The 20,750-nt window shown below is 40.9% G+C and overlaps 1 protein-coding gene and 1 long non-coding RNA gene across 6 annotated transcripts in view, besides 9 other annotated features; one reads left to right on the top strand and one right to left on the bottom strand.

Annotated features, from left to right (window-relative positions):
- The window catches only part of GLS (glutaminase), an 84,732-nt gene extending 75,888 nt beyond the window's left edge, over window positions 1-8,844 (bottom strand). For all 5 annotated transcript variants that reach the window (XR_007072653.1, NM_014905.5, NM_001437282.1 and 2 more), the window contains exon 1: window positions 8,195-8,844. Coding sequence is in view for 4 of the 5 variants with exons in the window: in NM_014905.5 (NP_055720.3) it covers window positions 8,195-8,580 (386 nt within the window). In the remaining variant the exon portion in view is untranslated. The remainder of the gene's footprint in view (window positions 1-8,194) is intronic.
- Window positions 6,721-7,920: an enhancer, noted in NCBI's record as "P300/CBP strongly-dependent group 1 enhancer chr2:191746471-191747670 (GRCh37/hg19 assembly coordinates)". NCBI's record gives its function as "activates an origin of replication core promoter dependent on BRD2, BRD4, P300/CBP, MED14 and CDK7 cofactors, with strong dependence on P300/CBP, by STARR-seq in HCT116 cells {active_cell/tissue: HCT116}" and the evidence as "EXISTENCE:reporter gene assay evidence [ECO:0000049][PMID:35650434]".
- Window positions 7,367-7,556: an enhancer, noted in NCBI's record as "active region_16868". NCBI's record gives its function as "activates an Ori minimal core promoter by ATAC-STARR-seq in GM12878 lymphoblastoid cells {active_cell/tissue: GM12878}" and the evidence as "EXISTENCE:reporter gene assay evidence [ECO:0000049][PMID:35858748]".
- On the top strand, window positions 7,677-13,329 carry LOC124906110 (uncharacterized). The gene is made up of 2 exons (XR_007087791.1): window positions 7,677-7,752; window positions 8,097-13,329. It is a non-coding gene; the product is annotated as an uncharacterized LOC124906110 (long non-coding RNA).
- Window positions 7,877-8,186: a silencer, noted in NCBI's record as "silent region_12189". NCBI's record gives its function as "represses an Ori minimal core promoter by ATAC-STARR-seq in GM12878 lymphoblastoid cells {active_cell/tissue: GM12878}" and the evidence as "EXISTENCE:reporter gene assay evidence [ECO:0000049][PMID:35858748]".
- Window positions 8,247-8,336: a silencer, noted in NCBI's record as "silent region_12188". NCBI's record gives its function as "represses an Ori minimal core promoter by ATAC-STARR-seq in GM12878 lymphoblastoid cells {active_cell/tissue: GM12878}" and the evidence as "EXISTENCE:reporter gene assay evidence [ECO:0000049][PMID:35858748]".
- Window positions 8,387-8,446: a silencer, noted in NCBI's record as "silent region_12187". NCBI's record gives its function as "represses an Ori minimal core promoter by ATAC-STARR-seq in GM12878 lymphoblastoid cells {active_cell/tissue: GM12878}" and the evidence as "EXISTENCE:reporter gene assay evidence [ECO:0000049][PMID:35858748]".
- Window positions 8,787-9,046: a silencer, noted in NCBI's record as "silent region_12186". NCBI's record gives its function as "represses an Ori minimal core promoter by ATAC-STARR-seq in GM12878 lymphoblastoid cells {active_cell/tissue: GM12878}" and the evidence as "EXISTENCE:reporter gene assay evidence [ECO:0000049][PMID:35858748]".
- Window positions 9,317-9,456: an enhancer, noted in NCBI's record as "active region_16867". NCBI's record gives its function as "activates an Ori minimal core promoter by ATAC-STARR-seq in GM12878 lymphoblastoid cells {active_cell/tissue: GM12878}" and the evidence as "EXISTENCE:reporter gene assay evidence [ECO:0000049][PMID:35858748]".
- Window positions 19,304-19,842: an enhancer, noted in NCBI's record as "OCT4-NANOG-H3K27ac hESC enhancer chr2:191734549-191735087 (GRCh37/hg19 assembly coordinates)". NCBI's record gives its function as "activates a minimal SCP1, AML or CMV promoter by ChIP-STARR-seq in naive H9 embryonic stem cells {active_cell/tissue: H9 hESC(naive)}" and the evidence as "EXISTENCE:reporter gene assay evidence [ECO:0000049][PMID:30033119]".
- Window positions 19,843-20,383: an enhancer, noted in NCBI's record as "OCT4-NANOG hESC enhancer chr2:191734008-191734548 (GRCh37/hg19 assembly coordinates)". NCBI's record gives its function as "activates a minimal SCP1, AML or CMV promoter by ChIP-STARR-seq in primed H9 embryonic stem cells {active_cell/tissue: H9 hESC(primed)}" and the evidence as "EXISTENCE:reporter gene assay evidence [ECO:0000049][PMID:30033119]".

Raw genomic sequence — 20,750 nt, 5'->3', positions numbered from 1 at the left:
ATCAAGTCTATAACATCCAACTCTGTTAGTTTTTCCAATAACTCATTTCTTCAGCCAAGTATCCTTTAATATATCAGTCTAGATGGAATAATACAGATACTATATGAATTCTGTCACTGCAATCACTCTGATACCACTATAGACAACTTGTTCAGAATAACTAACATATATAGGTAGAAGTTAATGAAAAACTTCAGCCACACATAAGGAAAAATGAAACAGCTATGAAAACGGAATGGGCTGCCTTCTAAGGGAGTGAACTCCCTTGTGAAGGCAGTATTCAGGTAGAGATGAATAACAACAACCTATAGGGAGTATGTAACAGAAGAGAAGAAAGCAGCAGCTGGGGAGAAGGGTTTGTAAGATCTCTTATAATCCTCAATCTAAAAAAATTAACTCTATAAATTGAATTAGTTTGCTGCTAATAGATGAAAAATAAAAAATCAAAACAAGTCCTAATACTGTCTGAACTTGTTTAGGTCATTTAATATCTGCGGGCAGCTTATATAATACGTAAAATGAGCTGGAATTAAATGTTCTTTAAAGTTACTTCCAAGCTTAATTCTCAGTTTTTGAGTTGCTAAAAATAGATGTCCTCCAAATCACTACACTAAAGTGAGATCATAAACTTTATTCACTCACAACTTACATACTTTTATTTTACACATTAGCATATTCATCTGGGTTCTAAAACTAACAGAAGTATTTAATGCCACTGAACTAGGGAACTTAAAAATGGTTAAAGTGGTAATTTTTATGTTATGTATATTTAACCACAATTTTTTGAAAAAGCTAAGCAGAACTGGATACAGAAGGTAAGAGTGAAGGAGGATAGCTAAAGTAGAGACATGAAGAACAGTCAACTGATACAAGATACAAAAATCCACAAAAGAACAAACCCACCCTTAAGAGTACTGGTTAAAGCAGAACCAATCAAGGCATGAGAGAACTTACCAATAAATATATTTTAGTGTAGGGCTACGCAAACTACAGCAGGGACCTCCTCTTTTTGTAAATAAAGTTTTATTGGAAGACTGCCACATCTATTTACCTATTGTTTGCAGCTATTTTGCTACCACCACTGAACTGAGAAGTTGTAGTAGTGACTAGAGAACCCCAAAAGCTGAAAATATTTACTATTTGGCCTTTCAGGGAAAGTGTGCCAGCACTTGTCTTACAGCATCACTGTATTACAGTGCAGTATAATAATGCATCCTTAAAATACACATAAGTTGAACAAGAAATGTTAAACTCTATTGATTACAATGTTTTAATATGGCAGAGAAATATGTAACATTTACTAGGGAGATATATCAAGCATAGTTTTAAATTTTTAAAGTTTGATGTTTAAGGGTACCAGTGAATATGATTAGACAATGCTGATAAACAGGAGCTGTGCAAATTCATACATAACCTATTTTCATACTTTTCTTTCAATGTAATGGTGCTTACTGTTCTTATACAACCAGAATCAGGATATTAGAAGAGTAGACAGTAGAGATTTACAAGTTCAAAACTTAACAGATGTGGTTCCTTTGATTTTCAAAACTATGGAATGTTTTTTACTGTTTTAGACGTTTCCCACTTATAATGGGGGGGAAATCTTAAAAGTAACAAAAGGAGGCAGGAAAAACAATGCTCGTTCTCATAAACCACAACTGCTAATGTCATTTTGGCTTATTTCCTTCTATTACTTTTTCTGAGCTTTTTAAATAGCTTGAGATCATACTGCATAGAAAATTCTGTATTCTAACTTTTGGCCGTTATAACATTACCTTATATCCTAAAAAGTACCTGCAAACATTTTAAATGACTAAATAAGAGACCCTCATATGAATGTACCACAATTTACTTAACTATCCCACTAATGTTGAACATGCGTTTTTCTCCATTTTTCTCTAGTATGCATAACACTGTACCAAAAATAATAGGAAATAAATCTTTCTAACACTTCAGTTTATTTTGTGAACTTAGATTCCTAAAAAGGTATGAATACTTTGTAAGTTCCTCATAGAGCTTAAAAATTGCTCTTCAGAAAGTTTACCATCAAGAATTGAAGGACGGGTCTATGTCACTCAAAATATCCTCATCAAGAAGACAATTTTAAAAATCTTTTTTAGAAGCCTGTACCAGAAATAAATAGGCAAAAATATATTTCTTAATCCTGAAAGCTATCAGTTTTATTCATTATGCAACATCTACAGTTCTATGTTTCGAAAGTAATGCTTTTACTATAAACATTTCTTTATAATGAATTTAACATATCAAGCAGAGGACACTCCCAAATGGAAGTCAAGGTACATTAACATTTTGCTTCTACTACGTTGTAGGGGGTCAGAAAATCACTAAGTGCAGTGATGACTCACAAGTAATGTGTTTCATAACCAAAGCAATTTTGCACCTGAGTAGATTTCAGGGTAAAACTGTACTAACAGTATCTCTATGTGAAAGCTATGTACCTCACTGAGAGATATCAGTAATTAATAACTATTTTTATAAATACATCTGTTTACTCACCTTTCTTAAGCATTTCTCTTACTAGCAAATGACTTAAAGGTGAAAAGGCACAGACAGGCAACTATAAAATATAACCTTAATTTATATAGGATTTAACATGATTGAGCTCCCTCACACAAATTCTATAATTAGGCTTTCAGCTTATATGGTCATAATTTTTCTTCATTTCAAATATCACAAGAAGGAAGTAGTACAGCCTTTTACTATTACTTTCTTTTTTTTTTTTTTTTTGAGACAAGAGTCTCGCTCTGTCACCCAGGCTGGAGTGCAGCGGCATGATCTCGGCTCACTGCAACCTCCACCTCCTGGGTTCAAGCGATTCTCCTGCCTCAGCCTCCCGAGTAGCTGGGATTACAGGTGCCCGCCACCACTCCTGGCTAATTTTTGTATTTTTAGTAGAGACAGTGTTTCACCATGTTGGCCAGGCTGGTCTCAAGCTCCTGACCTCAACTGATCCACCTGCTTTGGCCTCCCAAAGTGCTGGGATTACGGGCATGAGCCACCACGCCCAGCCTGATTTCTTTTAAATAACTTTTTAAAACTCAAAGAAACCCACAAATATCTTCAGCAAATTTCTTTCAAAGTGACATTTATCTTTGGACTAAAATAGTGCCCCCCCTCCCTTTTAGCTGGCCTACATATTGCCTCATAAAAAAGGCTGAATTCTATTTGGTAGTCATTTCATGGATTAGCTGACTTTGAGGTAGGTAGACTTCTCTATAAAAGAGTAAGGTCTGGAAATATGCAGCTAAAAGTCCAGGAGACTAAACCCCTCAGAATCTAATTCTTGTTCTTTCAGTGAATTTCATCCAAATATTAATAAAACTATAAATTAACAGCATGAGTTTGTTAATTACAGATCATGGACAAAGTTATCAATGACTGATGCACATTTCAATATAAATATTAGGTCACAAAAATGTTATGACATATAGTTATTGGTACCTTTTTCACTTGCTTTTAAAAAAACAAAACTGGGCTGGGTGCAGTGGCTCACGCCTGTAATCCCAGCAATTTGGGAGGCCGAAGCAGGCGTATCACAAGGTCAGGAGGTCGAGACCATCCTGGCTGACATGGTAAATTCCCATCTTACTAAAAATACAAAAATTAGCCAGGTGTGGTGGCACGTGCCTGTAAGTCCCAGCTACATGGGGGGCTGAGGCAGGAGAACGACTTGAACCCAGGAGGCAGAGGTTGCATTGAGCTGAGATCACACCACTGCACTCCAACCTGGGTGACAGAGTGAGACTCCACCTCAAAAATAAATAAATAAATAAAAATAAAATTTAAAAAAAAAAACTAAAACTCACTGATAATCATCACCTAGAAAAAAATTTTTAATAATGAAGAAATCAAAAATAACTAAGGGGCTGCCTGAGAAGCCCAAAGGAAAAAATTAAACATACTTTCCACCTTGATTTTAGCTTAAGTGAATTGTAAATATGTTAGCTTTTAAAATTAAAACCAAATGCAATACTGAAGGATCATAAAAACATGTGCCCCCATTTTAACAGAGGTTTTGTCATTCAGTTCTAAAACTTAATATTTATATCTGCCAAATACTAACTCAACTTCCTTACTAGTATTGTTCAATCTACCCAATTCAATGTTCGCTGAAATTCATAAGCATTTCATCTTACTTTGAAATTCAATGTTCAGACCAGGTGCGGTGGCTCACGCCTGTAATCCCAGCACTTTGGGTGGCCACAGCGGGCAGATCATCTGAGGTCAGGAGTTCAAGACCAGCCCAGCCAACATGGTGAAACCCCATCTCTACTAAAAACAAAAATTAGCCACGCATGGTGGCGGGTGCCTGTAATCCCAGCTACTCGGGAGGCTGAGGCAGGAGAATGGCTTGAACCCGGGAGGCAGAGGTTGCAGTGAACCGAGATCACACCACTGCACTCCAGCCTGTGTGACAGAGCGAGACTCCATCTCAAAAAAAAAAAATTCAATTTTCAGAGTATACACCTCGATGATTTTCTTTGCCCTTCATTGTCCATAACTATCAAAACATAAAGCTGAACTATCAAAACATAAATCCATACTAACTAAAGCTAGCTGAAATCATTTTTGCTTGCATTTTTACTTTTAAATATAAATATATTTTAAAGCATGCTTATTTGTGTAATTACAAATATTTCTGAATGCCACGACTTCATGTAGATATGCAAACATCCAACTACCACATCACAGCTATGCAGTTTTTAACAGAAACTACCAAACTGCCTAAAGTAACTGAACTAATAATTTATACTTCTACTAGCAATGCTAGAGTTCCTATTTTCCCAATTACTTGATTTAACATCTGCCAATCTGAGAAGGGGAAAGTGACCTCATTGTTGTTTTAACAGAATACTTTCAATATTGCATCCTGTATGAATTATCTATTTTCTAACAACATACATATGCTGGTATTTTTCCAGCCCAATTTCTGTTATGTATCTCTTTTCCTTTCTCATTAAAAAATAAATGTCCAAATAAAAAAACTTAATAATGCCCCTTACCTCTATCCCTCTGACTCTTCCTAGGGACCATTCACTAAGATAGGATACATACTTCTGGACTTTATGGAAATAAGTATAACCAGCTTAACAGAGAAAAGTATGATAAAAATGTCCATATGGGCAAGTGCTGGCATAAACCATAACATAGTTTGTGACTTTAATATAATGCTCATTCCAGATCCTGCTGGTTTTCTGGAAGAGAGTGCTATTTTCAAATTAAAACTCTAAAATTACTCTCATAACAGTACGCAAAATAGGTTGAATTGGAGAAAAGAATGAATATCAGGGTACAGACTTAAAATTTGAAGTCATTGAATATGTGGCGACAAATTTAAGAACAGAGCTTTGGATTAAGAGGTGAAGTATTACCTACACAAAGATGAGAGTCAAAGCTGAAAGAAGGGATACGCTGTTGAGAAGGCAGACAAGTGGGAAAGGGACAAAGGCCTCAGCCTCAGGGTTTTTACCCAGTGAGGAAATTCAAAAAGAACTAGGAAAGAAGAGAGAACAATTTTGAAAACGAAGAGAGGCAAGCAAAGTTGGTTTTCAAGATAACAGAATGAACCATAACAAAATTAAATAAGATCACTAAAGACAAAACTGAGCAAAGATCATTAAATTTTTCTATGTGATATTAAGACGTTCGTATCCTAAACCACACTAAAGTTGCGTGATGGAAACAGCATAGTCTAAAGTGACATTAGTTCAAAGAGTTTGTGAAAAAAAGGTAAAGTAACTTGCTTATATCACGCCTCCTTCCAGAATATAAAGTAAATAAAATATAAACTCAGGACCAAGGAAAGGAGGAAACGCAGATATCCCAGCCATGTGAACTGATGAAATTGGTGTGGTTAAGCATTAAATTTACTCTGAACTTATTTATCAGCAGAGCAAAAGGTAAACAGTGCAACTCACATAGTTTCATATAAGACAGATGTATAGCAATTTCTCAAGATAAACATTTTTGTGGAAACTAAAAAAATTAAAAACCTTCATGTGCAAGCCTGAAATTCCAAGGCCAATCTCTTTAACAGGCTTTACAATAATGAAGAAGCAATGTTTTCTCATTTATTTAATAAATAGTTATGTGTCATTTAACACACGCCAAATATTGTTCTAAGCCTTTTACAAAATGTTAATTTAATTTTCTCATGGTTATTTCTTTTAATAATACTACATAAAATCTGGCACAGTCCTGAGTGAGTGCTAGCATACCAGGTGGACTGCTGACTGAGGGATGACCTATGCTTTGCAGGCTAAGCATTAGAAAGGATAACAGGATCAACTGGGAGCTTACCTCCCAGGATAAGAGAAATGTTTGTCACATAAAGGCAAAATGAAAGGAGCCAAAGAGGGAAAGCTACATTTGGAAACCAGATCATTAAGGAAATAGAAACTTTAACCAAATTAAAAAACTTTCTTCACAACCTTGAGGCCCTTGCTAAAAGGTGATTTTTTATTAAAAAGGCAATGAAACCAGAAACTTCTGGACAAGTGAATCACAGAAGAAGCTCAATTTCCTGTTTGACAAAAGAGGAAAAAAAAGAGAGGCACTAGAGCCACTGCAGAGACACAGACCTGAAGACATAATTTTACTAGAATGCAGTTCCCATCTTGTAGCCTTTAAGATGAACTTTTAAACGGTTGTGACTGCATTTTGCAATTCTGTACCTTGGGCACTTGCATGTAAACTCGTTACTTCCTTGGTAAACCGGATGATGTTAAAGTAAAAGTGAGTCCCAGATGAGATTAAATTATCATTCTAGTCCCTAAAACATGAGAGAAGTACAAATTTAACAGAAGTATAGCTTTTTAGAACTTGAAAGGATTTAAGTCATCTAACCCAAGATATTAAATAACCTGTCCATGGTCAGGACGCTATTTTGTGGCACAAAACCAACATCACAAAATACCACAAATTTCGCCCATCATCAAGTGATTTTTTTCAAATAATCTTTTTCAGTCTGGGAGAAGAACTTTAGAAAAGTTTCTGGAAGGTCCCAACTTCAATTACAGGAAAACATCAAGCAGGCGTGAGATTGAAATTATAACAATGTTCTCACTTTCAGTTTGACTTAAGGAACTCTAGAGCTGGAAATAGCAGCAGAAATAAAAGGGAAGCAAAACAGGTTAGAGTGTCAGCGTACAAAGCCAGAAAAAGAGTAAGGTATAATGAAAGCAGATCCGTAAATTTTTACCCATTTTGGGAAAACAAAGTGGTCCATTTGTATTACACAAGACAAAAATATATAGGAGACTGCTTTGCATATTGTTTAAGAAAAACCAGTTTTGCTTTAAGACTAAACTACTGTGCCGTACACATACAGGATGAGTCAACATCCTATCACAATGAAGTCACAAAACCTACTCAACTCAGATTTTTCACTGAGTTAGTGTATTACGTCACATTTCATCTTGGCTATTTAACTTTTATTTCTAAAAATCTCCCCATCTCACGGAAGACCTGACAAGCCAAAGCTGGTCCCTTATGCAAACAGGTGGTCTATACTGCGTGCCCCATCTTCTCGGCCACATGACCGGATTCCTCCTAATCTCACTTCTGAAACATTGTTTCCGGTGCCCCAGATGGCTCTACACGTGCCTGAGGTAGCCACTCCCGAAATATAAAGAGCTCTCTGTCACATCTGGCTTCCAACCGGATGATGGCAGAAACCAAGGGAGGGCAGGCAGAGCGGAAACGAGCCAGGAAAAGCGACAAGTCAGGAAGGTAAAGGCTCTGCTGAACGCCCAACTCCTAAATGTCACTCGGTGGAGATGTTCGTGCAGCATCGCCCACGAATGGCTGGGGCGGGCGGCCAGGCGCTGCAGCCGCAAGCCAGGGAGCTGAGCACGCAGCGCGGGCAGGGGAGCGGCCTCTCTGGCGCTGGGGACGCCAGGCGAGCCCATCAGGCCCCACCGCGGCCCCACCAGGGCGACCCCCGCCGGGGGCGGAGAAGGGAAGTGGGTGCCTGGCGGAGGGTTGCGGGCGGGGAAGGCGCGGGCGGGGCCGGGCCTAATCACATGGCGCAGACGGCGCAGGCCGCCCGGCACCTCTTTCTTTCTCTTTTCTAGACCCTCGGCTCCTATCCCGCCCCACCGCAGGGCCCCACACAGCCTGAGCCCGGGCCCCGAAAGGAACGAGGCCTCCTGCGCCTCGCGGAGACACTCACTTTTCACCTGAGGCCACCAGCTCTTTGCCCTCGCTGTTGCCAAACGCGTCCGTCTCCCCGGGGCCGTCCTTGGGGCCGGGCGCCGCCGGGGCAGCGGGTGGCGACACCCCGGGCTGCGGATGCGTGCTCCCCTTGCCCAGCTCCTGCAAGATCTCCGAAGGAGAGCTGGACAGGCCCCGCGCGAGGGGCTCCGCCGGCCAGCCGCCCCCGCCCCACCACGGGTGGAGTCGCGCGGCGGCAGCCGGGCCCGCGGCCGGCCGTCCCCCGCCTCGGGGACGCCGGCACAGGGTGACCAAGGGCTGTGCCCGCCGCAGAGTCGCGCTCACGCCGGCGGGCGACCGCAGGAGCAGGTCCCGCAGCATCCCCGAGCCTCGCAGCCGCATCATGCCGCCGGGTCCGTCAGCGCCCGCTCAACAGGGGAGGATGCTCCGGGCGTGGGCGGCCGGTTTCCTCGGGGAACGCGGTCTGTGGTGGGGCGGTGAGATGACAGAAGAGGAAAGGGCAGCTACTTGGGTGTGGTTCCGGCTCGGACTCCCGCAGCGGATGCGGGTGCTGCTGCTGCTGCTGCTGCTGCTGCTGCTGCTGCTGCTGCTGCTGCGCGCTAGGATTGCCGCGACCGGTTCTCTTCGCTCCGCCTAAGGCTCCGCACTGAGGCTAAAGCGCAGGGGAGGGCTAGAGACCTTCAGCGCTCGCCGACGGCCCGCCCCTTTCGCCCGCTGCGATTGGCTCAAATCCTCGACCTCTCTTTTGATTGGCGATTAGGGCAGTCAAATTTCTCTCGGCTCTGGGTGCGCGGAGAGTAGGGCGGGGGATTGGTGGGGGGCGGGGAGAGGAGTCAAACTGACGTGTGAAGCGGGTGAGCCAGGCCCGGCTGCTCAGTAGCCACTTTCTGCACGCCGTGCCAACTCCGAGGCTAGCCTAGTTGGGTACTAGGGGCTCTGGGTTCTCGCATTTATGAAGCAGTGGGCTCCTCCACTCTGGGAATTCGAGCTGTTGGGGAGACTCATGGGCGAGATCCCCCGCAGCCGAGGGCAGTGAGGTCAGCAGGTTTGGCAGGGCTGAGTCTGGCCGAGCTGTCGGAACTCAGCCGATCCCAGCTCGCATCTGGCCCCCAGGTCAGGGCGTCTGGCGACTCCTCCGAGAGCAGCCCCGGACAAGCTTCATCCCTCTCCCAAATGTAACATTTGCTTGAAACTTTCCATGATTGGCTACTACCCAGACGTGAAGTGTTTTGGAAAAAATGAGCAAAATCCTTTCAGCTATGCGACTTAAGCCATGGGAGGGTGGAGGTGGAGGGAGGGCGACGAGTGGCGAGGCGGGGTGGGGGGGTTGCGGAATCCAGAATACGACAGCTTTCTTTTTTAAAAATTATTTTTTTTAAATGTACACCGATACTTCAAAAATAGTTTTGAATAGCAATGATTCCGTTAACGCTATTTGCTTGAAAGCAAAACTGTAGATACTTTTCTATTTTAAAAACTGCTTCACTGTTTTAAAATAGAAGCGTTGGAATACGGGTTCTCTAAGTTATTTCAGCATCACTTTATCCATTTATCCTTTTGGACCTGTGGAAAAACAGCCAAGAACCTGATAAACTGAGTTATTCCCTGAGGCTACATACACATTACATTCCAGGACAAAAAAATGTTTTTAGACTATTTCCTGAAACAATTAGGTTTAAATGGAGTAGATCCACAGAGTTTAATAAGATGTTTTGGGGGTTGGTGTGTTGTTACTGTGTTGTTGTGTGTGTTCGTTTTGAGAAAGGGTCTCACTCTGTCGCCCAGGCTGAAGTGCAGTGGCGCGATCACGGCTTACTGCAGCCTTGAACTCAGGGGCCCCGGTGATCCTCCCACCTCAGCCAGCACCTGCTTTTTTTTTTTTTTTTTTTTGTATTTTTGGTAGAGACGGGGTTTCGCCAGGTTGCCCAGGCTGGTTTCGAGGGATCTGCACCCCCTGGGCCTCCCAAATTGCTGGGATTACAGGCGTGAGCCACCACGCCCGGCCTAATGAGGTGATTTTTATGAAACTAGAAGGGTGTATGTCAGGTGCATCATTAATTGATAACCGGATTTAGTAATCTAGTGAACTGTAAAATATTTCAATAGATTAATAATTAGGAAATCTGGCTGTACCTACAGGTTATGTGACCTTTGGCATGTTACAGCCTTGCCGTGTTTTAAGTTTTTTTTTTCTATCTGCTCTTTAACCAGAAGAACATGGAAAAAACTATCATGTGTAAAACATAGTCACCTTTTTTATTTAAAAAAAAAAAAGCAGGACAATGGGAAAGTACTTAGATAGCTTTTATTACTAATGTTACTTGTCCAAAAATGTTGATGAATCAAAGTAATGATATATTCAGGAATAGAGACATCAAGTTTCAGAGGAAAGGTAACAAATATTACCCCTGCCTAACCCTGACTTGTTAATGACTTGCAGACTTTAATATTGTCCAATATATTAGCTGCAATTAGTTATCAATTTTAACTGCCTCTTTTTTCTCAACAACACAAAGCAACTGACAATCCAGTTACTGTTTTCCTCTCAGTTTCTCCCTTAATTTCTCTGAGTTTCTTATGAAAATTGTTTTAGATATTTAAAGGTTTAAAGGCTTTATAGTTCACTTAACAAATAAGAAAGCTAACCTAGTAACAGATTATTTTCTAGAGTTTCTAGTTTCTAGAGTTTTATTTTCTGGTAGTTTCCAGACTTTCTGCTTTTGGTGAGAATGGATAGATATTACTCCCAAAATTTGGAAGAATTGAGTCCACTGAAATTTAACCCCTTGTTTGAGAAGGCTAATGAAAAGGTTATAGACAGCAAAGAAACTATTATAAATAGAATAAAAATGTGACTCAATACTTTCATTTGATTCTTTTCTTCATCTTATATAATTTTTTAATCTTTAAAGATATTTTTATCTACAACTTTGTAACCATTACACAACTTTGAAGTTTCAGTTATGTTAAATTGAATTATATCATTACATAAACTCATGTAATCATCATGTAAAAAGTATAAAAACATTTGTATACATACAATAAGTAGTCCACCAAAATATCTACAAATAGAAAAATGCTCTCCACATTAACTATGGTTGGGTTGTCAGATCTACTCTTCGACTTCCTTTTTGCTCCTAAGTGCAGCTACACTACAAAGAGTTGCTGTCCCATAGCCATCATCAGGTAATCAGCCATCAAAAGGAATAATTGGAATTTGTGCACTTTGTGTCTGTTCTAACTTGAAGAAAGGTTCCTGTGCTTCTATGTTCCTGAGCTTCTTTGTTCTGTCGAAGATTACAAAAGGCTAATGTTTCAAGATCATAATAAAATCCATATATAGGCCGGGCGCGGTGGACTCACACCTGTAATCCCAGCACTTTGGGAGGCTGAGGCGAGCAGATCACAAGGTCAGGAGATTGAGACCATCCTGGCTAACACGGTTAAACCCCATCTCTACTAAAAATACAACGATTAGCTGGGCGTGGTGGCACACACCTGTAATCCCAGCTACTTGGGAGGCTGAGGCAGGAGAATCACTCAAACCTGGGAGGCCGAGGTTACAGTGAGCCAAGATCGCACCACTGCACTCCAGCCTGGCAACAGAGCGATACTACATCTCAAAAAATAAAATAAAATAAGATAAAATAATATATATATATAGAAATTCCAGATTGCGCCTTCACAAAAACTAGTAGATTATTTGTTGACCTAGAACTAAAAAGAAAGTAATTTTCCTTTGACTAACAGCTTAAAAGAATTGCCTAAGCCTTTTTTTGAAATTCTTCTGTTTGGAGAATAGAGTAAGGTTCAGGAAGCCTCTAAACAAGCTTCTGCTACTACTTCCCTTTCTTCTGTTGGTTTCCTGCTTTAACTGGCCAAATTCCTAGCCTCACTGATAAGCCCTGCCAAACATGGCTTATTTTTCCAATACTGAATATAGATGTGTACCAAAGTAAGTATGGTAAATCCCTCATCTATAAAAAGGGGATAATATGGCCAGGCAAGGTGGCTCACGCCTGTAATCCCAGCACTTTGGGAGGCCGAAGCAGGTGGATCACCTGAGGTCAGGAGTTCAAGACCAGCCTGGCCAACATGGTGAAACCCCATCTCTACTAGAAATTCAAAAAATTAGCCAGGCATGGTGGTGCATGCCTGTAATCCCAGCTACTCGGGAGGCTGAGGCAGGAGAATTGCTTGAACCTGGGAGGCAGAGGTTGCAGTGAGCCGAGATCTAGCCATTGCACTCCAGCCTGGGCTATGAGAGAGCAAGACTCCATCTCAAAAAAACAAAGGGGGGCGGATAATATTGGTACTTATAGGGTTGTTGTGTGGAATAAATAAACAACACATATAAAGCACCCAGAATAATGACAGTAGCACTCTGTAAGTGTTATAGCTGTTATTATCAAACCATAGGTGAATAAATTTTGACATGCAATGTGATCAGTTTTTACACTTATTGTTGAAAAGCCAAACAATTGTTTTAAACCATCTAATAATAAAATACCATTTAAGGGGAACCTAGAGATAATTTACTTACTTCATTTTTAGAAAATAAACCAATAATTTTCAAAGTATCTTAAAATAGAAAAAGATAAAGACAGTCAGATTAAGAAAAGCTGGGCTCAGTGCCCAAAGTAACAGCTATTCACAAATAGCTAAAAAAAAAAAAAAATTCCAGAGAAGGAAGAATCGCTAAGAAAGCAGTCCTTGAATATACATGTCATATACAAATACCTTAACATATAGCAATTAAATCTAAAAATATATCATTTGCCATCTATGTAAATGAAAGTATACCTCTGTTCATTGTGACATCATATAAAATGACAAGAGATATTCATCAAATTTGAGCAGCATATCTGAATGATCTGCCTTAAAATACTAACTATATGAAGTTCTTTTTGAGAGTTTCCTGATGGCCGGAGTGGGGGTTGGGTGGGAATCAGTTATTTTTCTCCACTTAGAGTAATATGATAAAGATTTCAATTAGTGGAGTTTGTAAGGTAATATTGTTTATATTTACACCACCATTATATTTATGGGGCCTCCAAATATTAATTTTTTAAAGTGATTTTAATGCTTATTTTTCTGTGGATTCATATTAAAAATAAATCAGGCTAAACCCCAGCCCAGAGTTAAGAAAGTCTTTCTTGTATATTAGCAAAACCTAAAAAAAACTGATTTTGTATATAGTCCAAAAGTCAGTCAAAAGGATACCTGCTTGAGAATGAAAACAACCTCTGTGGTAGATTATACTACTATTCCCAAATATTTTTGTCCCTCCCACTGGGCAGACTTTACCTCCTCACCTTGGATGGCAGTCTTGGCCTTGATTTGTTCAATGATATGTGACAGGAAGTGGTATGCCACTGCCGAGCATAAACTCACTTGGTTCTGTCATCTCTCTTTTCCCTTTTAAACAAGAATGGCATGTCCCAGAGAGGGGACGCTTCTTTCCCCCCACACCCCACCACAGTTCATTGGTTCTAGTCCAGTCCATGAGGGGATGCTTCTTTACCTGGGTCCCAGAATTATGGAACAAAGCTGACAATGGCTTTGGCTGACAAATAACATCAAGAGAAATAAGCCTTATTTTAAGTCATTTAAACTTGAGGGTTATTACCATAGAATGACTTAGCTTAAGCTGACTGATATATCGTCCAATTTGAATGAAGAAGACGTGGTAGCCAGGATACAAATCTGTATCATGAAGAAGAACATTGGCGAACTCTAAAAGATAGTCAGTCAACCTACAGAGCAGTTGAAAGAGTACCACTAAGTGGGACTGCCTGTCAATAGGCATTCTTTTCCAGGTACAATTAAAACCAAAGCTCAGGTAGGAGACATTTAATTGATAGTTTAGTATGTCATATGCATTTGGACATGTTAAGTGGAGAAAATTAGCAGTGATTTGAAGTATGAGCCCTATACAATTATGCTGTGGTTGGTTTTATGCTGTGAAATCTAATGGTGGTTCAGCAGCTAACATTTGTCACATTTTACAAGCCCTGAAAAAGAAAAACGAGCCAGGGCTTTTATCTATTTATGCTCATCCAATGGTAAAATCATATTACCAATTCAGAAACCAATTACTGAACTCCACTGAAATCATTATTTATGGAGCTAAATATAAAATTCAGAGTCTACAATAATGTATTTTGATGTACCAGGTTAAAGAGGAATCAGTATTCATCCTCTGGAAAGCACGGGTTCCTTCAAACTATATTTTCACTTTTCAAGCATCTGACATTTACAGTAAGCATCTGGTTCCCTCTATCCATTTAGAAGGTATTAGAAACAATGCTACAAATCCAAGGGTTGGTTTGTGACCGAGCTGCTTCTCATAGAGATAGCACCAATGTGTGTTCTGAGGCAGAGCTTTATTCACATGTACCCTAGATAGTACAACAAACAGTACAAACAGTACTATATATATATATATTTTTTTTTTTTTTTTTTTTTTTTTTTGAGACAGAGTCTCACTCTGTGGCCAGGCTGGAGTGCAGTGGTGCGATCTCAGCTCACTGCAACCTCTGCCTGCTGGGTTCAAGCGATTCTCGTGCCTCAGCCTCCCAAGTAGTTGGGATTACAGGCACATGCCACCACACCCAGCTAATTTTTGTATTTTTGGTAGAGACAGGGTTTCACCATGTTGGGCAGAATGGTCTCGATCTCCTGACCTCATGATCCGCCCACCTTGGCCTCCCAAAGTGTTGGGATTACAGGCAGGAGCCACCGCGCCCAGCCAGTACAATGTATTTTGAAAACTCTGTAGAAACAACCTAAATGTTTATCAGTAGAAGAATGGATTAACATAACATGGCACACATTATGTAATGCACATTATTTAAAACTAATGATCCCTAGTTTCCTATATTAAGTGAATAAGTCTCAAAAACAATGTCGAAGGGGTAAAAGTTACATATGGGTGTATATATATTATACTACCTTGATTTTTTTTTTTTTTTTTTTGAGACGGAGTCTTGCTCTGTCACCCAGTCTGGAGGGCAATGGTGCAATCTCGGCTCACTGCAACCTCCGCCTCCCAAGTTCAAGCAATTCTCCTGCCTCAGTCTCCCAAGTAGCTGGAACTACAGGTGCCTGCCACCATGCCTGGCTAATTTTTGTATTTTTAGTAGAGACAGTGTTTCACCATGTTGGCCGGGCTGGTCTCGATCTCTTGACCTCGTGATCCACCTGCCTTGGCCTCCCAAAGTGCTGAGATTACAGGCATGAGCCACTGTGCCCGGCCTTATAATACTATGATGTTAAAACATGCAAAACAATATATTATTTATAGATTTATACAGATTTTGTTTAAATGTTTAAAACATGCACAGGAATGGCAAACATCAAATTCAGTATAGTGATTATTGTTTCTAAATATGTAATGGAGAATGGCATTGAAGAGTTGTACACAGAGAGTGAAAACTGTATCTGTAATGATTAACTTCATTTTGTTTGTTTTTTTGTTTGATAGAGTTTCACTGTTGTTGCCCAGGCTGGAGTGCAATGGCATGATCTCGGCTCACCACAACCTCCGCTTCCTGGGTTCAAGTGATTCTCCTGCCTCAGCCTCCCAAGCAGCTGGGATTACAGGCGCATGCCACCATGCCCCACTAATTTTTGTATTTTAGTAGAGATGGGATTTCACCATGTTGGCCAGGCTGATCTCAAATTCCTGACCTTGTGATCCACCCACCTCAGCTTCCCAAAGTGCTGGGATTACAGGCATGAGCCACTGCGCCCGGCATGATTAATTTCTTAATAATTTTAAAAATCTGAAGCAAACAGGCAAATATGGTTTGTTATGTTCCCTTTTCTGTGTATTTGAAATATTTTGTGATAAAAGAAAATAAGCTTGGCCGGGCACAGTGGCTGACGCCTGTCATCCCAACACTTCAGGATGCCAAAGCGGGCAGATCACGAGGTCAGGAGTTTGAGATCAGCCTGACCAACATGGTGAAATCCCGTCTCTACTAAAAATACAAAAATTAGTTGGGTGTGGTGGTGTGCGCCTGTAGTCCCAGGTACTTGGGAGGCTGAGGGAGGAGAATTGCTTGAATCCGGAAGGCGGAGGTTGCAGTGAGCCGAGATTGCGCCGTTGTACTCCAGCCTGGGCAACAGAGCGAGACTCTGTCTCAAAAAAAGAAAATAAGCTTTATTTCAATGTTGAAACCCATTACAGCCCTCTAACAATTATTATATGTGTAGAAAATATTACAAATTCTATGATACATTTTAATGGCTCCTTTTAAACTTAATTTCGCCTAACCAATGCTGACTGATATAACTAGTAAGCAATACAGCTACCCTGTAAATTATTTTTCAAAAGGACAATCAAGAGTTACTACCCCTGAAATAAAGGTTTTATTAAAGATAAGAATGACATATTTGACAGAAAAACATTAAAATTATATTTTTTTACTATCTCAGAGATAAATATGAAAGCAATTACTTTACTAATAACATATGAATAAGAAATATATTCTTCCTTCCTTTGATGTTAAAGAGGCTATTTATGTTTGTAACATTTCTGTTGGAGACAGGTGTTGATATGGTTTGGCTGTGTCCCCACTCAAATCTCATCTTGAATTCCCATGTGTTGTGGGAGGGACCTGGTGGCAAGTAATTGAATCATGGGGGCAGGTTTTTCCTGTGCTGTTCTCCTGATAGTGAATCCGTCTCATGAGATCTGATGGTTTTAAAAAGGGGAATTTCCCCACACAAGCTCTCTTCTCTTGTCTGCTACCATGTGAGATGTGCCTTTTACCTTCCGCCATGATTGTGGGGCCTCCCCAGCCGCGTGGAACTGTAAGTCCATTAAACTTCTTTCTTTTGTAAATTGCCCAGTCTCAGGTATGTCTTTATCAGCAACATGAAAATGGACTAATACAGGTATCAATTGCTAAATGTTATGGCTAGAGATATTATAAGTTAATAAGGTCACATGGCTAATTAATAATAGAGTTGCTGAAAACATACCCTTCAGCTAGATCTGGCACTTATCCTCATTTCTTTTGAACCATCAGTGAAATGCCCACCCAAAGACTCTGCTGTGGCTTGAATGTCCTTGACAAAACTCACATTGCAATTTAATTGGCCAGGCGTGGTGGCTCACACCTGTAATCTCAGCACTTTGGGAGACTGAGGAAGGCAGATCATTTGAGGTCAGGAGTTTGGACCAGCCTGGGCAACATGGTGAAACCTAGTCTCTACTAAAAAAAAAAAAATTAGCCAGGTATGGTGGCACATGCCTGTGGCATGTGGTGTGGTGGCACATGCCTGTAGCATGGTGGTATGGTGGCACATGCCGGTAGCATGTGGTATGGTGGCCTGTAGCATGGTGGTATATGCCAGGTATGGTGGCACATGCCTCCTGAGACCCAGGAGGCTTGAACCCAGGAGGCGGAGGTTGCAGTGAGCTGAGATTGCACCATTACACTCCAGCCTGGGTGACAGAGCAAGACTCTGTCTCAAAAAAAAAAAAAAAAATTAATTGCCATTTTAACAATATTAAGAGGTAGGGCCTTTAGGAGGCGATTAGGTCATGAGGGCTCTGCCCTCATGAATGGATTAATGCCATTATCATAGAAATGGGTTAGTTATTGCAGGAGTGGGCTCCTGATAAAAGATTAAGTTCAACTCCCATTTGTTCTCTCTGACTCACACTCATTTGCCATGTGATGCCTTCCTCCATGAGATGACTCTCATCAATTGCTGACACCATATTCTTGGACATCTTGGCCTCCAGACCATGAGCCAAATAAATCTCTTTTCTTCATAAATTACCCAATCTGTGGTATTTTGTCCCAGCAGCAGAAAATGGCCTGAGAGAGAACATTGTTATTGAGAAGTGGAGCTGTTGCTATAACAAATACCTGAAAATATGGATATGGCTTTGAAACAGGGTAATGGGTAGAGGCTGGAAGAATTTGAGGAGCAAGCTAGCAAAGGCCTAGATTGTCCTAAACAGAGCATTAAGGGTGATTCTGGTGAGGGTTCAGAAAAGAAGAAATGCAGGGAAAGTAGGTGATACGGTTTAGATTTGTGTCCCCGCCCAAATTTCATGTCTGAATTTTAATCCCCAGTATTGGAGGAGGAGCCTGGTGGAGGGGATTGGATCATGGGGACAGACTACCTCCTTGCTGTTCTTGTGATGGTGAGTTCTCATGAGATCTCATTGTTTAAAAGTGTGTAGCACCTCCCCCTGCTCTCTCTTCCTCCTCCTCCGGCCATGTAAGACATGCGTCCTTCCTCTTTGCTTTCCGTCATGATTGTAAGTTTCCTGAATTCTTCCCATCCATGCTTCCTGTACAGCCTGGGGAACTGTGAGTCAATTAAACCTCTTTTCTTTATAAAGTACCCAGTCTCAGGTAGGTCTTTATAGCAATGCAAGAACAGATTAATACAATCTGGCACTTCTTAGAGATTACTTAAGTGCTCACAGCCACAATGTTGGTAGAAATATGAACAGTAAAGGCCATTCTAATGAGGTCTCAGATGGAAATGAAGAAGGTATTAGAAACTGGAGTAAAGACCATCCTTGTTATAAAGTAGCAAAGACCTTAGTTGAATTGTGTCCATGCCCTAGGCTTTATGGTATGCAGAACTTAAGAGCAATGAACTAGGATATCTGGTGGAAAAAATATCTAAGCAGCAATACTTCCAGGCTGCTGGAGCTACCTTTAACTGCATACAGTGAGATGCAAGAGGAAATAAATGACTTAAAAACAGAATTTATTGGAAAACAAAAATAAAATTCTAGCCCCAAACCGACTGAACAGACCTCTTTCTTGACCAAGGAGATTTCAAAGAAACCTGAAAAACTAGTTCAGACCATGCTTCATTATACTCCCTTCCATTTTAAGTTTAGATACAACTAATCAGCATTAACAATAAAGTAGAGATACAGCTGGGTGCAGTAACTTATGCCTGTAATCCCAGCACTTTGGGCAGCTGAGGCTGAGGGGATCACCTGCGGTCAAGAGATTGAGACCATCCTGGCCAACATGGTGAAACCCTGTCTCTACTAAAAATAGAAAAATTAGCTGGGCGTAGTGGCATGTGCCTGTAATCCCAGCTACTCGGGAGGCTGAGGCAGGAGAATCACTTGAACCTGGGAAGCAGAGGTTGCAGTGAGCCGAGATTGCATCACTGCACTCCAGCCTGGCAATAGAGTGAGACTCCATCTCAAAAAATCAAAACAAAACAAAAACACATTAAAATAGAGATACTAAGACTGACCAAACAGAGTTTTTGTAGCACTAAGATACCAACTCCAAACTGACTTTGGTTAACATCATATGACAGATTGGGCCCTAAAGGAAATCAAAGTATTTTACCCCAAAATATATTTCTTTGACATATTTTGGAATGATCCTACAAAGGTGTCTCTTGTAGGGAAAATTTACACTCTGTAGAGATTCCCCTTCCCGTTCCTGATTCAGGGGCAATTTAACTAAGAGTCTGACACCTCTTAAAGTCTCATAAGAGACATTTATCATCTATTCTCTCTGAAGCTTGCTACCTGGGGGCTTCATCTACATAACAAGAACCTTGGCTTCCACAAACACCGTATCTTAAACCCAAGAAACTGCTAATTTATTCCCGCTGACTTCAACGCTTTAGGCAAAGCTTAACTCTTTTAACCACTTGCCAATAAGAAAATCTTTGCATCCACTATGACTTGGAAGCCCCCATTTCAAGATGTCCCACCTTTCTGGTCCAAACTAATGTACGTCTTACATGTATTGATTTATGTCTTTGCCTGTAACTTCTATCTCCCTAAAAATGTATAAAATCAACTGTAACCCAACCACCCTGAACATTTGTTCTCAGGACCTTCTCAGGCTGTATCATGGGTGATGGTCCTCATATTTGGCTGAAAATAAACTTCTTCAAATATTTTACAGAGTTTGGCCTTTTTTTTTGGTCAACATTAAAATTAAAAGAAAGACTACATGGAAAGATTTGAAAAATTTGCAGTCTGGCCATATGAAGAGTGAAAAGTCATATTTAGGAGAACAAAGTGGCCACATGCTAAAGGTATTAGTATAGATGAGAGCCAGATGCTGTTCATCAAGACAATGAAAGACTCAAAAGTCATTTCAGAGCTCTTCTGAGGCTGCCCCTTCCATTGCAGGCTCAGAGCTCTAGGAGGACAGAATGGTTTCTGGGGATGGGCTCAGGGTGCCCTCCACAGGCTCACAGCCCAGGGCCACTTTGGGACTCTATTCCCTGCATTCTGGTCCAGTGCTCCTCAGCTATCCTAGCCGTGACTCAAGCAGGCTCAGGTGTGGCTCAACCTACCATTCTGGAAGGTTCAATCCATAAACTTTGGTAGCATCCATGTGGCACTAATTGTGCAGGTGTGCAGAATGCAAAGAGCTGCGTTGGTGTGGCTTCCTCCACCTAGATTTCAAAGGATGTCGCAGACAGCCTGGGCACCCAGGCAAAGACTTAATCACAGGGGTGGAGCCACTGCAGAGAACCTCTACTGGGGCAATGCCAAGTAGAAATGTGGGATCAAAACTACCACAGAGAGT

Source organism: Homo sapiens, chromosome 2 (assembly GCF_000001405.40).
Source record: "Homo sapiens chromosome 2, GRCh38.p14 Primary Assembly".
Lineage (NCBI taxonomy): Eukaryota > Metazoa > Chordata > Mammalia > Primates > Hominidae > Homo > Homo sapiens.
This window is presented reverse-complemented; position numbering and strand designations above follow the sequence as displayed.